Source organism: Homo sapiens, chromosome 7 (assembly GCF_000001405.40).
Source record: "Homo sapiens chromosome 7, GRCh38.p14 Primary Assembly".
Lineage (NCBI taxonomy): Eukaryota > Metazoa > Chordata > Mammalia > Primates > Hominidae > Homo > Homo sapiens.
Genome location: NC_000007.14, coordinates 143,609,533 through 143,626,311, shown reverse-complemented (window position 1 = coordinate 143,626,311; position 16,779 = coordinate 143,609,533). Strand labels below are relative to the sequence as shown.

General features: G+C 43.7%; 1 protein-coding gene and 1 long non-coding RNA gene across 15 annotated transcripts in view, besides 1 other annotated feature; one reads left to right on the top strand and one right to left on the bottom strand.

Annotated features, from left to right (window-relative positions):
- TCAF2 (TRPM8 channel associated factor 2) overlaps window positions 1-5,338 on the bottom strand; it is a 109,437-nt gene extending 104,099 nt beyond the window's left edge. For 7 of the 10 annotated variants that reach the window (NM_001363538.2, NM_001438662.2, NM_001438665.1 and 4 more), the window contains exon 1: window positions 5,292-5,338. Coding sequence is in view for 1 of the 10 variants with exons in the window: in NM_001365427.2 (NP_001352356.1) it covers window positions 1,914-2,536 (623 nt within the window). In the remaining 9 variants the exon portion in view is untranslated. Of the gene's footprint in view, window positions 1-1,913; window positions 2,551-4,808; window positions 4,922-5,291 lie in introns of those variants that run through there. The other 3 variants (NM_001438663.2, NM_001365427.2, NM_173678.3) reach the window with 3 other exon arrangements.
- Window positions 5,274-5,433: a silencer, noted in NCBI's record as "silent region_18725". NCBI's record gives its function as "represses an Ori minimal core promoter by ATAC-STARR-seq in GM12878 lymphoblastoid cells {active_cell/tissue: GM12878}" and the evidence as "EXISTENCE:reporter gene assay evidence [ECO:0000049][PMID:35858748]".
- The window catches only part of LOC101928466 (uncharacterized), a 32,145-nt gene continuing 20,763 nt past the window's right edge, over window positions 5,398-16,779 (top strand). The window contains exons 1-4 of one of the 5 annotated variants that reach the window (XR_928088.3): window positions 7,659-7,687; window positions 8,781-9,143; window positions 11,745-11,904; window positions 13,010-15,784. This is a non-coding gene — a long non-coding RNA (uncharacterized LOC101928466). Of the gene's footprint in view, window positions 5,761-7,602; window positions 9,144-11,744; window positions 11,905-13,009; window positions 15,785-16,779 lie in introns of those variants that run through there. The other 4 variants (XR_242200.5, XR_007060573.1, XR_928087.4 and 1 more) reach the window with 4 other exon arrangements.

Sequence of the window (16,779 nt, the reverse complement as noted above, 5' to 3'; positions counted from 1 at the left end):
CACAGCTTCTATCAGTCTTGTCTGGGCCACCACCATCTCTCCTGTGGTCTACTTCAGTGGCCTCCCGATTGGTCTGCTGCTTCAATCTTTGCCTCCCACAGTCTGTTCTCCACCATCAATCAGAGGGTTCCTTTTGAAATTTAAGTCACATCATAGCAATCTTCTGTAGAGAATACAAAATGTCTTCCCATCTCACTGCAAATAAGGTCTAAAGTTCTACTCCTGGCCTGTCAGTTCTTACATGACCTGAGCTATCATTCACTGAGTTCCCATCATTCTGGCTTCCCTGATTGCCAGGTGTGTCCCTGGCCAATGGATGAAATGAGTACTCAGACACAAGTATGCAGTGTAAGAACAGCTAGGTGACTGCCTGGCTGTAGTGGCCAGAGAGCAGCCCCGAGAAGCTGAAGCTGCTTGCTTTTATTTACTGCAGGCATAATGCCGAAAGCCTGGAGCCTACACAATCTGTAAATGACTAACATTTATTGTTCCTCATTCAGAGAACATCATGTGTGCGGATGTTCAAATGTCAGCTCCTGGACAACTTCAAACAAACAGGCTTGATCAAGACAAATTCTCCTACACTCCCTTGTACCTACTCCTTGCCCTCTGCCTCAGGGTCACAGAACAGCTGCCTTCAGCTATTCTCCCCTGGAGCTTTGCAGAGCCTTCCGACCTTATAGAAGGGCCACTCCCTTTCCCTTGGAACATACTAAGCAGGCTTCCCTTCCAGGTTTTCTCACCCTCACTCCTCACTCTGCCTGGAATCTTCCTCTCACAGATGCCCACATGGCTCATTCCCTCACTTCCTTGAGGTCTCCTTTCAAGTGCTACCTACCAGACCAGCCTTCCAAGCCGGCCATGAGCTTGTTTGCACTCATCTCTATTCCCCTTTCATCTTGGTCATCCTCCGTGTTGCAGAAAACTGCATTTCTTTGGTTCTCCTGTTCCCTGGATCCTGGTGGGTTCAGCCCATGGGAGAGAGAGGTAGAAGACTGAAATCAGGAAGGAAGAAGGAAGGAGTTTAAGTGCTTGCTTCTCTCTTCAGGCTGTATTTCTGGTAACCACAGTGTCTTCTCTGAGACTCCAGCTTCTAGCAGACAGACCTTTCATCTGTGGTTCCAGCTCCTGCTGGGAAGGCATAGCATGGCTCCAGCTTCTACCAGGTGGCCGCAGCACCTGGACTTCAGTAATACCACCATCTCCCTCTGCTGGTTCTGCTGTTGCTGATCTCTGGGTTACTTGCTGTCCCCTGTGTGTATTTTCAGCTCCTCTATCATGGGTATAGTCAATTCCCCATACTAAATCCCTTCTGCTAGCAACGCCAACAAATCCTGACCAATCCAACTTGGTCTGACTGATAGGACTTCCCTGAACATCTTAAATAAAATAGCCTCCATCAGCCTTCCTGTTGTCATGCTATCCACTTATATTATCATCTTTCATGGATCTTAGCAATACCTGATAGAGCACATATATATTAGTTTCCTTAATACCTATCTCTCCCCTGGAATACAAACCTCATGATGGCATGACTTGCCTGCCTCGATCTCTGCTAGACCCCCATTGTCCAGAATGCAGCATGATCAACAATCGGTGCTCACACAAACAAACAAATATTCTTTCATGCATTTAAGAGGTATTGATGAGCACTCTCTAGGTTCTATTTACTAGACATGGAGATAAAGTGGTAAGACAAGCTTTTCTATTCAGCTTTGGCCACAGGAGGGAGTGGCAGTGAGGGCCCAGCCTCTCTTGTGTCTTGGTGCATTTTAATCATCCTGCTTTTGATTTGTGGTGGTTCCAAACTGAGTGGAAAATCACCTGTATTGCAATGGAAGCTTGTTGAAGAGGGGAACCAACTCTATTGTTTATCCTGAGTCAGACTCCCTAAGAGGGGAACAAACACTCACCTGACATGGAGTGGGATCTTGGGCACCTTCTTAGAGACCTTGAACCGGTCTCTGTCCCCATAGGTGTCAGTGAAGTACACTCCGGCTACACTTGTCACCTTGTTCCCAGGGAACCTGGAGAGCACCTTGTCAGGGCCGTGCTGGCTGGCCCAGTACCAGGCCTGGCCCCCGATTAACAAGCCCCCTCCATGTTTCACAAACTGGATCAGCGTTGCAGTCAAGGTGTCATTGTAGGCATTGATACAGTAAACCCCTAGGGGCTCTCCTGGTTCTGGCTTGACCTGTGCCTCAAGCCCAGCATCCTGTAGGATGTTTACTAGAGGTGCCAGGGATGGACGCACTCCCACGGGAGCCCCAGGACAGGGACAGAGCCAGCTCACTGCATTGAGGAGAAATGAAGCCAAGCCAGCATGCGACAGGTAGCCCTCATGGGACACAACCACGAGGCGGCCTCGGCCGTAGGAGGAGGCAGCAATGAGCACCTGGCCCTTGTCATTCACCATCACGGGGAAGGCGGCTTCTCCAATAAGAAGGAGTTCACTGGGGATGGGGCCTCTGGGGACATCCCAGCATGTCACTCCATCCATGAGGGCCTCAAACGCAGCAGCAGCAATGGTCGCCATGGTTCTATCAGCTGCTGCAGGGGGAAGCAAAGACTTTCATGTATTTAAGAGATACTGATAAGCACTGCTGGTCAGAACAGATGAAGGAACAGGTGAAAAAAGCAAACAACTAAATGCATTCACCTCCAAATTTTACTGGATTCCCCATTGTGGGCCAAGCACTGTTCTAGCACTGGGAGTACAGCAAGAAACAAAACAGATAAGGTTTCCCTTTTCGTGATTTGAATATTTTAGAAGGAGAAAGATAATGAATAAATAGGTAGATAAACAGATAAATAAAATGCAACAATCACTATGATGAAAATAAAACACAATGATGTGACATGGAGGAACTGGAAGACTACTTTAGATTGGGTGATAGGAAAGGACTCTGACAAAGTGGCATTGAAGCTGAAACCTGAAATGCAGTGAGCAAAGGGCATTCCAGCAACGAGACCACTTTGGGGTGGCTGAGAGCCAGGAGCAGGGAGGAGCAGGACCCCAGGAGGAGGGAGGGACGGGCTAGATCCTGCAGGGCCAGTAAATCAAGGTGATAGTTAAGTTCGTGTGCCTGAGTGGACACAGTGCTTGATTTTTTTGAACAGAAAGGTCATAGACCTGTCAAAACATGCCTTTCTTCTGACAGCTTTGCTAAGTTGGAAAGTGCCCCCTAATTTATCAAATCTGCCCTAATGGAGAGGACCCTCCTCTATTTGGTAGCATTATGCAGTTTCCGGAGGTCTTTTAAAATTGGCTGTGCCTAACACTGAGACTATTTGTCCCTTTAAGCAGCCCCTCTTGGATAAATGACTTCAGTCTCAGTTTCCCCATCTACAAAAAGAGAATAATACAGCCATGGGAAGATTGTTTTTGAAGATTAAAGGAATATGGATAGGCCAGGCGCAGTGGCTTATGTCTGTAATCCCAGCACTTTAGGAGGCCGAGGCCGGTGGATCACCTGAGCTCAGGAGTTTGAGACCAGCCTGGCCAACATGGCGAAACCTGTCTCTACTAAATCTACAAAAAATAGCTGGGCATGGTGGCGTGCACCTGTAATCCCAGCCACTTGGGGAGGCTGAGTCATGAGAATTTCTTGAACCCTGACGGTGGGGGGCGGAGGTTGCAGTGAGCCGATATCGCACCAGTGGACTCTAGCCTGTGCGAGAGAACAAGACTCTGCCTCAAAAAATAAAATAAAATAAAATAAAATAAAATAAAGTAAAGTAAAATAAAATAAAGCAAAGAATATGTCTAAAAATGCCTTGTCTGGGGTTGGTACACATACAGTGAGCACGGAATAAACGAGAGTGTCTGTCCCTTTGCTGTCCTTTTAAGTTTCCCGGGTTGCCGAGGGCAGCGTTGCAGATTGCAGTAGTGCAGTAGTCCCCTGGCTGCCTGTGCCGCCTCCCTTTGCGCGTCTCTGACGAGCCCACTGTAAGGGACTTTCCTCTGTGCTCTGATGGCTTCTCACCTCTGCAGGTGCACAAGGCAGCCCTGAAGTAGCGGTGAGTTGACACTAGGGTGAGCTTCGCCCAGTAGAGCGGGGATTCACAGAAGAGTGCCCCGTGGCTTTCCCGAGGTGCCCATCAGAGGTCCTCGGAAGGCACCCGGAGGAAAGGAGCGCCATGTGGAAGACCCTCAGCCACATGCTCCTCCTGGCTTTCCCTTTTTTCCTTGTCTCATTCTCTCCACTTCCTCATTTGGGCTTTTTGGTCTCACTTACCCCCAAAAAATTACCTGCAGGTAAGCCCTTGCATAAGGCTTTGCTTTAGGGCAGAATCTAAACTAAAACACACACCAAGCCCTTGAGCCACAAGTGCCTCCTTCCTCTCTCCCTCCTGCTTCTATATGCAGTCAACCACCTCATTTGGTTAATCTCTCACCATCTCTCTCAAACATCAGTCCCTTTAGTTGGCAATCATTCCAGACTAAACCAATATGGTTTTAGTCCCCAGGATGTATTCTCATCCACAATCGTCCTCTACAAGAACTCTAACAAGAACCGTTACATTTCGTCCACTCTCTCTAAGGTGAAACTTGCAGAGCGCCTCAGCCTGGCTTCTCCAGGGTCTGGCATGCCAGTGATTACTGGACGTTTTTCCTGCTACTTTCTTCCACTAAATCTCTCCAAGCTCGGAAAGGTTGGCATTCTGAGCATGCCCTGCATTTCCTGTAGAATTCCATCTCTTCCCCTCTTCCCTTCCTATCCGCCACCTTTTTCTTAATACTGCTCGCGGGAAAGAAATTCACAAAAGAGAGCCAATACTCGGCAGAGCATTGAGAATGCGGGTACCTGATCTCAGCCTCAGAAGTTACCAGTGGAAAAAAGCAGCCGAGAGAGATCCGGAAGCCTGAGCTCAAGATCGTGCTAGCTACCTCCCAGAAGACAAGCGACGTCTTTCACTTCTGGGGCAGTACCAGTTTGACAGGATAAACAAAAACAGACAAAAAACCTCAGATGAGTAATATGTCCCGGAAAGCTGACCCAGCATTCCGCAACGAAATGTGCCCTCGTGCACGCACACACCATGCACATCTTTGTCAAATTCGTAATTTACAAGTTCAAATAGGAGGGAGAAACGTGTTTTGAGACAAACTGCAAATAGCACCAGACTAACAAAACGAAATGAAACCAAAGACCTAGACCTAAGAAGGGAGGGACACCCCCTGACGCCGGGTATGGTCTGGGGCCTCCAGCACTTTGCGGCGACCCCCAGTGCCCTAGGTGCTCAGCTACCGCCCCCACCCCAGGACCCGCTGGGATTGGAAAACTCACCCCTGAGCAGTGCGGATACCTAGGGACTGACGGACAGGCTCTGCAGTGGCGCGCGGGGGACGGGTCGGAGGCGAGGCGGGGCGGGGCGGTCCCGGAGGCGGGGCGGTCTCGGAGGTAGGGGCCGTCCTGGAGGCGGGGCCGTCTCGGAGGCGGGACTGTCCTGGGGACTGAGCTGTCTCGGAGGTGGAGTCCTGCGGTCCCGGAGGCGGGTTGTACCGTAGGCGGGGCTCTCTCGTAGGCTGGCCGGTCCTGGAGGAGAGGCTGTTCTGGCGGCGGGGCTGTCTTGGAGGCTAGGAGGTCTCGGAAACTGGGCTGTCCCGGAGGCGGGGCACAGGCTGGGGTGAGGCGGAGCCGACCCTGAGGCGGGCCCGGGGCGCGGCTACCGCTCCCTGAGCCACGCCCGTGGTCTCCCGTTCCATCGGTGGACCCCACCTCGGGCCGTGCTGCGGGCTCTCGGGGCGCCTACCAGGTGAGCGACCCCGCCTTCCCGGAGGGATGCTTTGGCCTGCATGGGGCCCCAAACCGGCTCCCTCAGGGTCTCTGCGGGTTCTTGGATGCGAGAGGGGACCCAGCCAGTTTGCTGTCGCACTTGATAAGAAAAGCAAACCCTAAGTCTCCAATAAACCATATTTGGGGCGAATAGTTCCCTAACAACAACGTATGCCACGGGGGAGGCCCCGCGTGGAATCAGGCTCCCTTCCCTCCGATCTTGGGGTGGGCTCAGCAGAGCCGGTAGCCGCCGCGTCGCCTCCGTCGCTCGAGCCTCTGCGTGGAGGGCTGCCCCCTAGTGGTCAGCTGCGGGCCATGCACTTCGAGCCCGGTGGATGCTTATGGCCATGGTGCGGGGTGCTCAACTAGGGCATTTTTCTCTCAAAGTATCCACAGAAATGCTGCCCAGCAAGTTATATTCTTGCTGGGAGGGAAACGTGCCTGTGGCATCACTAACACAGATTCGTCCGTGCATGGCTGGAGAAATTAAGCTAAAGCTATAGAGTGGCTGGTGCTCGAATTTCTACGCAAGAGAGGTCAGAAGGTGAAAATCAAGGTGGAAGGGTGTGGTCAGGAGGAGGATTTGGTGTAGTCTGGAGTTTAGGAACGTCTTACCTAGGAAAGTGATGACTGTGCTAGAATGAGGGGAAAAAAGTAGTCTGTCTGCATTTTGCCCACCATTGAGTCCTCATTGCCTATTTTCATTTCTGACATAGAATAGGCTTTAGTTTCTTAATAAATAACTAAATATATGCTAAATAAATAAGGATATAGTGAACGTCCAAAAATATCTGTCGAATTAGTGAGTTAATAACTGACTCTTCGGAGGACTAGTGGAAATCTGATTGGCAGAGGACCAAATACATTCAGGTTTCAGAAATAAAGAGCAAGGAGAAACTTACACAGAAAAGAAATTGTGGATAAGACTTGCCAGAATTTGGAATAATTCCGGCTAGAAATCCAACGTGCGGTGAAGTACGTTGAGTTCTTAGGCTTCATATCAGGGAACAACTGACCTTTGGGAGCTGAAGTGGGAGATGGACATCAAAGAAAGTGGGTCAGTAAAGTTCCACGTTAAAAGCTGATTCAGGCCCGGGTGCGGGGGCTCACTCCTGTAATCCCAGCACTTTGGGAGGCCGAGGTGGGTGGATCACCTGAGGTCAGGAGTTCAAGACCAGCCTGGCCAACATGGAGAAACCCCGTCTCTCCTAAAAATACAAAAATTAGCCGGGCGTGGTGGCACAGGCCTGTAATCCCAGCTACTCGGGAGGCTGAGGCAGGAGAATTGCTTGAACCCGGGAGGCGGATGTTGCAGTGAGCAGAGATCATGCCACTGCCCTCCAGCCTGGGCGACAGAGCGAGACTCCGTCTCAACAACAACAACAAAAAGCTGGCTCGGTATCTTTTGTGTGTTTGTACTCTTAGGTTTTAACCAGTCTCCACCTACATCAACCTCACTCCTCATGGTAAAGTACTACTATTGTTCTAAATTAACTCCTGAGAGTATTTTGGTGTTGCTCTAATAGAAGAAAGGGGCTTTAAACAAAGGTGATTTTTCCAGGGTCAGAGAGCAGAAAGTACCTGCCATTTGGGAGCAGGAGCTGCCTGAGGAATGGAACCTAACAACATAGGAACGGCATAACGGTTCCTAAAAAAAAAAAAAAAAAAAAAAAAGAAGAAAAAAAAGATTAAAGATGGTAACCAGCATTTACGTTCTGACTAAAGGGTGTCCGAGAGAGAATACAGTCATGGGTTCTTAGTTTCTGTTTTTGGTTAGGCGAGTAAAACCCCTTCCTCATCCCTCTTTTCCCCTTTCACTAGAGACAGAAACTAAAAACCGTGAGTTCAGGCAGCTAGAAACCTAAAATAAAAGAAAACGGAACAACAACAACAACAACGAAAATAAGGTGGGTTGGATAAGCTTCGAAATGGTTACTGCTTATGCAAAGGTGCAGGCCCCAGATCTTTCCTTTTACTTGGGAGAAAACAGACGCCATTCAGTGAAAGTCAACATATCCTTACTGGACACTTATTCTGTGAGGCACTCTGGGAGATAGAAATGCTATTATGGTCAGTAAATCTAGAGAGGAAAAAAGACAAGAAAACAACTATACCAAAATTGGCTACGAATCAGGTGCAAGGGCACATAAAAGAAGCAGCAATTATTTCTGATCAAAGGATTAGAGAAGAATGTGCACAGAAGGTGACACAGAAACTCAGCTTAGAAAAATGTATATTTGCGGGGAGATAAAGGGGAAGGTATTACAATGTGAGGCTGTATAAGATTCCAAAGCACAGAGATATGAATGTGAAAGGCTTAATTTGAGAAAGACAAAATGTTCATAGTGACTGAAACTTGTTAGCAGAACTTGCATAGTGCTAGCTCTAAAGAGAAGTTTGGGCTCGGTTTAGAGGGACTTTGGCTGCCATACTAGGGAGTTTGGATTCCATTCTACAGTGTGGAGGAAGATTTTTTAAAAGCACCATTTAGTAAACACTGTGGTTGCCTCCTCAACATCTATTCCCTACACTACCCCTATTGTCCTTTCTAACCAAATCCATTTTTTTTTTAAATCAGATAATCCACCTCTCCTTTATGAGATTCAGGGGACAATGAATTCATCTCCATTTCCAAGGATAGATCTGTATTAGCTTAAATCAGGCAGGCTAACTCATACTTCTTGTGCTTCCATGACAGACTCTTTCTGGGTTATACGTAATAAATATACATAAACAATATTATACTTCATTGTCCAGCATATACAAGAGGCAAACACAAATCAGAAATATTATCTTTACCAGTGGTACATGAGTCCATTTTTTGTCAAATAGAGAGCAATTGCTGCAGTAATTGCAGTTTATCACTAAGCCAGATGCAGGGGTTACTCATACATATGCCTTCTAATTGTGGGCTACTATTAATAGTCACTGGCCTCCTTCTTAAATTATTTTCAGTCATGAGCTTAACTTAATGTGGTACCATATATTCTTTCTTTTAAGGACCTTAAGAATCTGGGAAGAATTAGCCACACTCTAATTTAGGAACAGAGATGGATGAATCCACCTATGGACATTTACTGGTATGAGTCACTGGGGAAGTTCACTAAGTCACTATTTAAGATGATCCAGAACAGGTGTCTACAGCTGCCTTAAGAATGAGTACTATGGTGGTGATGAAAATGTTCCTCTCAGATGTCCAACTGCAGGGGGTGGGTATGAAATTGCCAGATGGCCCCAGCTGGTGTGCTCTGGAATCCTTGGCGCCAAGGCCATGCTGCCAGGGGCTTCTCCAGGCTGGTGATCAAATGTAGTGAGGATCCTCAGGCAGGCCCATTCCTGGAAGACATGGGACTCTCCCGATAGGTGAGTTTGGCTCAAGGACTCCTCATGGTCCTGAAAGAAACTCTCTGAGACCTGTACTTCAGTGGAAGCCTGTCTTTCCTTTGCTGTCTCCTTCCCAAGGGTTAAACCTACATTGCAGTCTAATGGTGGCTCTCCCGGCCTTCTCTGGCTCCCTCGACATTTTCTCTCACAGGCATTTCCTTTAATAAATCTCTCGCATATCTGATCCTGTCTTGGCTTTTGCTTCTTGGAGGACCCAGAATAACACAAGTACTGTCATAATTATATCTCCTCACTTTAAATCTCTCAAGTGTAATTACTAAAATTGTGTTGTAGTGGAAGTAAAAAGCAAGGTTACTAACTTGAGAGTATCTATGAAACACTCACCCATTAAGTTTCATTCTTTAGTACATTTATAATAACTTTTATTCCAATTGTAGCATGGCCTATCTCCAAGGGCAAGTTCCTGCCTGCGTCTTCATTGAAAACAGTGGAACTTTGAAGCAATGGGGGAGTTTGTTGCTTCTCTTGACAAGCGGCCAGCCCTAATTCAGAGTTATAAAAGTTTTCATATTCTGCTTTTGGCATATCTGTAAAATATACTTGGGCATACATTTTTTTTTTCTGTTTGGATCATAAGTGTGTGAAACATACGTGGTAAGAGCCAGTTATATTCCAATCACAGAGGATGTCTTGGAACACATCACTGCCACTCCAGAGGTACTGAAACTTTCTTCCTCTAGTAAGGAACATGGCTGGGGTGGGGGTGAGAAGAGATATTCTTACATTTATAAACTGTTTCTCCCACCACCAGACCAGACATAAAGTTTGATTTTGTCCTGAAGATTTCAGTTGTCTTGGAGCCAGTGGAACTGAGTTAGCCCAAGAATGAGAGTGGATGTCCTTTTTCTCTTTCTGCCTTTGAAATATCAGGTTCATTGGACAGGTGCTCAGTAGATCCAATTTTCTTTAATTGCACCTACATCAGTGTAATATAAATGTCTTCATTCACAATCCCACAAGGGTTGTAGATATCAATATGCCGGGGGATAGTGTATGGGAATTGAGGGTCATAGTAGGTCAATACTATATAAGAAAATTCCTACAGAGAGTGAGTCTAAATCCCTACTCCTATGGGACCAGCGACTATTATTGTCTATTTATTTACTTATTTGAAAATGTAAACAATTATTTCCCAGTGGACTAATTACAAAGTTCCTGTGACATCAAGATCATTCCTTCTCAAGGCTTTTCACTATATATTGAGACGTGTAGTCTTAATTTCATTTTGGTTTGCCCCAAGACTTCCACCAAGTCTAGGGGATCTGTACGGAACTATCCTTTCCCAAGGTACATCATGCATACTTTCTGCTATTATTTTTTTTTCAGTCTGTCCCTTGTGGTCAATCAAGAGAAATGCAGACTTCAATCTCTATAAGAAGAGCAAAGGTTCTCCCTTTTTAAACCTTTGAACTGAGAAAAAAAAAAAAAAAGCAGCAGCTCCTGCCATCCAGAAACTTGTCTGGCGCTAACAGCGAGGCCATATTGTTCTCCCATTGTACAAAAACAATTTCAGAAAACATCAACATCAGATAAGGTCACTCAGAGACCGTCATAAAGTAAGGCACATACACGATCACCATGCAACCCACAAAATACTGATCATCCTTCTGTTATCTAAAATGAGTAATTGCACGTTTTAGAAACCAATCGCAGCTTTATTCTCATTTTATTTATGTTTGTTTTTGAGACAGAGTTTCACTCTTGTTGCCCAGGCTGGAGTGCAATGGTGCAATCTCAGCTCACCACAACCTCAGCCTCCTGGGTTCAAGCGATTCTCCTGCCTCAGCCTCCTGAGTAGCTGGGACTACAGGCATGCGCCACCATGCCCGGCTCATTTTGTATTTTTAGTAGAGACGGGGTTTCTCCATGTTGGTCAGGCTGGTCTCAAACTCCTGACCTCAGGTGATCTGCCCACCTTGGCCTCCCAAAGTGCTGGCATTACAGGCGTGAGCCACCGCGCCCAGCCTTTATGCTTATTTTAGTCAGCTCTCCTTGTATATGTATTGAGATCGTAGTTGTAGAATTGTTTCTGGTTCTTGACAGTATGTCATCCAAAACAAAGTCTCCCTTCTTCAGACACTTCCCAAAACTATCCAACCAAAGCCCACAGCCTATAATAGGTTCTTTCTGACACCTTTTTACTGATATACCCACAGTTCTCTATGGTGTGCATTTTCCCTAGCTGCAATGAACAACAGATTCAACTTGTTTAATTATAGATGTGTTTCCATTGGTCTTTGGCTGTAGGGCATTAATAATATTATGTACTATTAGTGCGTTAATAACATTAATAATGCCCTATAGCCAAAAGTACTTTTACCAGTGCTAGAGATCCACCAGGCTTTCTGCTAAAGGTCACTCTAACATTACGGACACAAGTCAGTTGTTTGTCTTTTAATGCTTTTGCCAGCTGAAATAGTTTATCTCAGAGTTTTCTATGAGGATCTGAGATTTAACTCTGCTCTAGGTGTTGAGAGCAACAAGCTCATAGTGCCAGTTGTCTTGTGGTTAAATGTCAAAAGCCTTAATTAAGGCTTATTATTTTCTCCTTTGGAATAGGTCGGCTCCAAGGCTACACAAGCAGCAAGAAGAAAAGGAAAAACTCTGTTTTATTAAAGCTCCACTTGCCTATCTACCTTGGTGGAGGGTCAAGAAAAGGTTTATAACCTATTTGCAGGTTTTAGGCTCCTGTTTGCAGCACAGAAACCACAGACAATAGGTAAGCCTGCTGGGCCCTGGCCTACGGGGTCTGTTCAGGAAGAAGAGGGGTCTTCTCTCTAAACCTGTGAGATCTCTTCTAGACTCTTTTATAGATTGTTTTTATATTGTATGTTTGATCATTTTGTCCTCCCCTAACCCCCTTTGGGCACTATCTCAGACTTTAAATATTCTAAATAATTTTGGCAGTATGTGAAAAATGAATTTTATGTCACTAAGCGATTCATGGAAATATTTTTTTAGTACCTACATGTACAGATTTCTTAACCAATTATGTATATTTGAGTTCCTAAGAATAGAAGTAACTTTTTAATGACCTTCAGGTACACATATTTGTATTAAAATAAACCTTGGTTCCTAACTGTAATCATTGGTCACTACATTTTTTTTTAAAGTTGCAGTTGCTTCCCAACCTCTATTTATCTTTATTTACTCATCCCTTTATTCTATTTATTTCTAATATAATGAGCACCTATGAAACGCACCCAGTCTCAGACTAGAACATCAATAACTTAAGCTACTCAAGCTTTCCTATCAAAGAAATGCTTCTTTATAGCACTGAAATGCACAAGAATCCAAATGCATAGGAAGCATTTCTTAGTTGTCTTGATTGTGAGGTAAGTTGTTTTTTTTGTGTAGTTAGAAGAAAGATCTCTGAGAAGTTGAAGATCACCTTCTGCCCCCTCCCTATTGAAGACTGACTGCAATGATGTGGGTCAAAGAAAGAAATCATTTTAAGAGTAGAAGCCAAGCAGGAGTACAAAGGCTTTGTAAGGAGTAGAGAACAGAGGAGGGAAATAGTCTTGAAAGAAGGGATAGAGTCTGCTACTTTTGTTGGCAAAAAAGAGTCAACATCTAAGGCCTAGTTACCTGTTGGCCTGTTAGGTACATATATTAGGTGAGGTTTTGACCTTGGGTGAGGACATTGCTTTAAGCACTAAATAGATCAGATTAATCCCGTGAAGAGGAGATAGGAAGTGTTTCTGATAAATACTGCTTTGAAGATTGGCTGCAAGGCCAATACTCATCAGAGAGCTCCAGTTGACTATGGGAGTTAGACAACAGAGGAAAGTAAACTCATGACATATTTCAATTTCTCTTTACAGAAATTCAGACTCAGTGGTGTGGCAGAAGATAAAATAATTTGGGTTATTTCTGTGATAACATGGGCAATCTGGAAACTACTCCCATTTGTGAGGGTAAATCTCTATTATGATACATGGAAAATAGGACAGATGCTAATTCAGGTAAGAAAAGGTCTTTGTATTATACAAATATTTACCTTCAGACAGAAATGTTAATGAAGATGGAGAAGGAACAGTTACCAAGAAACTAGGGATAGTAGGACACAAAAAACCTGGTAACCTGGTAGTGAGTATGAACCAGTCTGGTGCCTTGCCTCCAGAGGAGCAGCAACTGAGCAGAGCTACTGGACAACCAGCCCTGCACTTCCCTAGAGCACAGACCAGCTCACTATGCAGCCACCAAGAGATAAGCACCGAAGGAGAACCTACCAGCCATGGATCCTCAGAAAACAGACCAGCTAAGTGCCCAGCCTTCAGGGGACAAGCAGCTGAGTGGGCATACCAGCCACACAAACTTCTGCAGCCAAGGCCACTGAGGTACTTGCAGGCACCACTGACATTAACTACAGCTAAAGAAGCTGCATGGAGACTACACTACTGCATCCACCCAGAACAAAAACAAATGTACCTTACCCAACCAACATGCTAGGACACATCTGCAGGTGTAAGTCTTTTCTGCTGAAAGTTATGCTACAAAGTTAGAAAAGGTGATTATTCCATCAGATGCACAGATGCCAGTGCAGGGATACAAGAAACATAAAAAAGCAAGGGAACATGACACCACCAAAGAAACACAATAATTCTCTAGTAACTGACCCCAATAAAAAAATAAAAATTTATGAATTGCCAGAAAAGGAATTCAAGATAGTGAGCCTAAGGAAACTTGGTGAGACATGAAAGAACACAAACGGATCATTCAACAATCGGGAAAAACAGTTCATGATCTGAATGAGAAATTCAACAAAGAGAGAGATATCATAAAAAAGAACAAAATAGAAATCTTGGGGCCAAGAAATTCAATGAATGAAATAAAAAACGCAATTGAGAGCTTCAACAGCAAAATAGATCAAACAGAAGAATTTTTGAACTTGAAAACAGGCCTTTTGAAATAGTCCAGTCAGAGGTAAAGAAAAAAAAAAAGGAATGAAGAAGCCTATGGCATTTATGGGACACCATAAGTGAACAAATGTTTGCATTTTGGCAACTTAAGAAGAAGAGATGAAGAAAGGCAAAGAAAGCTTATTTAACACAGTAATAGTTGAAAACTTCCCAAGTCTTGGAGAGATATGGACATCCAGATCCATGAAGTTCAAAGGATCCCACAAAGATTCAACTCAAAGAGGTCCTCTCTGAGGCATATAACCAAACTGTCAAAAGTCAAAGACAAAGAAAAAAATACTAAAAGCAGCATGAGAAAAGCATCAAGTCACATATAAGGGAATTGCCATTGGACTATTAGCAGATTTCCCAGCAGCAACCTTGCAGGCCAGGAGAGAATGGGATGATATATTTAAAATACTAGAAGAAAAAAAGCTGCTAGCCTAGAATACTATACCAGCAAATCTTTGCTTCAGAAATGAAGGAGAAATAGTCTTTCCCAGATCAGCAAAAGTTGAGGGAACTCATTACCACTGGACCAGACTTACAAGAAATGCTTGAGTATTTCTATTGGAAAAAAAAGTTTTTATGATAATTGCTACCATAAAAAAACATGAAGTATAAATCTCACTGCTGGAGATAAATGCATTATCAAATTCATAATGCTTCATTACTGCAATGGTGATATGTAATGTTTCAAACCTCTAGTATGAAGGTTAAAAGCCAAAACAGCTGGGTGCTGTGGCATGTGCTTGTAGTCCCAGTTATTTAGGAGGCTGAAATGGAAGGCTCATTTGAGCCCAGGGGTTTGAGTCCAACCTGGGCAACATAATGAGACCCCATTTAAAAAATAATAATAATTAAAAAAATGCAGCTCTGTGGGATGCCAAAAAGTGAAAATTGGAATAATGATTATAGCAATGATAAGTTGTTAAGGAATAAACAATATATAAAGATGTATATTAAAGCAACAAAATTATAAATTTGGGTGCAGAATGAAAGTCTAGAGTATTGGTATGCAATGAAAGTTAACTTGTTATCAGCTTAAAATAGTCTATTATAAGTATGAGAGATTTTTAATGTAACCCCAATACTAACCACAAAGAAAAAATTACAACAGATATACAAATGAGAAAGAGAAAGGAATCAAAGCTTAACACAACAAATACCCTAATCAAGCCACAGACATAAACATGAGAGAGGAAGAAAGGAACAAAGGATAAACAAAACAACCAGAAAATAATGAACAAAATGCAGGAAAGCTTAGGGCCCTGGATGGTCCTTCTTGAAATGTTTCCCAGAACAGGGGCAAACATCAAAGGCCTTCTTGGAAAAGAATGAAGTTGGCAAACTTCATTCAATGCTGTATTGGACATTCCTTCATTCAACAAATATTAAAACCCACTAGATGGTAAGCTTACTCAGCAGACATGGTGAGATCAGCAGTAGGCTTTGTTTTTTGTGGAACACCTATACAAACAAAAGAATGTGAAGTGTGTTTTAATAACTGGAAGATACTTAATCTGGCTGGAAATAGAGACTTGTGGGGAGATATCATGAGCCTGGACACATCAAGTGGACCTAGATACTTGAGGACCTTGAAAACCATTTTAAAGGCTTTAGCTGGGTTGCATCTTAATCAATGGGAAGTCACTGGAAGATTTTTATTTGGGTTTATTAAAAATTTTTTCAAAGTAATACATGCACAAGGTAAAAAATTAAATAGTACAGAAGGACTTAAAATGAAAAACACAGTTTCCCATCCCACCCTTTTTAAATCTAAATCCCATTCCCTAGAGGTAATGCTTTTAACAATATTTATTTTAGATCGTCTGGTAACTAACTTTCTAACTTTAAATAATATGTTTGAGCAATAATTTCTTGACTTACTGACTTTACAACATCTTTAATAATTCCCCATTACAAAAGATAAGGATTTAACTTACACTATCGCCACTTTCCTTTGTCCATCTCTCTCCAAATGTCTGATAGTTACATCACTTTTTAATACATCTATTGGTTTGATTTTATAGCTTTGAACAATACACTAATCCTCTAGTTCTTGTTCCATTAACTGAAGATCTTTTCATCCCCACTTTGAATATATAAGTATCTCTACCTTTGATTCCACTTCTCTTCCTCTAATTCTCAATCTCTTTCTGCTTTCTTTCCCTTTGTCAGCATTAATTACTTTCAACTTCAGTTCTGAATAAAAAATGAAACCTTTCACACTTTGTTAATAGGCTGATCTGAACACTGAATACTAATAAATGATATCCACATTATTTTGGCTATTTAAATACTTCTTACTGGGAGCCTAGTATAAGCTAGGATATTTTCTTCCCTACACACCCAATATCATCATGCCTGTGCCATAGAAAAGGAAATGTACCTATGAAGCCTCTTCTTATTCTTCATGAATAACTCAAAATCATGCCTCATTTTATTTTGCTCTATAATTGGACCTGAATTTTTTGACATATTGTTGATTTGTCTTTCTTTTTTCTTGACTAAATAATCTTCTCAAGCATCCCAGCTCTTCAATGATACTATCTATGGCACTGAATGCACATTCTTCCCAGAAAGCCCGAGACAGTATGCTCTCATCTGAAATTAGTCTGCTGGATAGCTGTCACTCTAGGGTGAGATACCCTTTTGGCTGTCACTCTAGAATGAGACATCCTAAGTAAGGT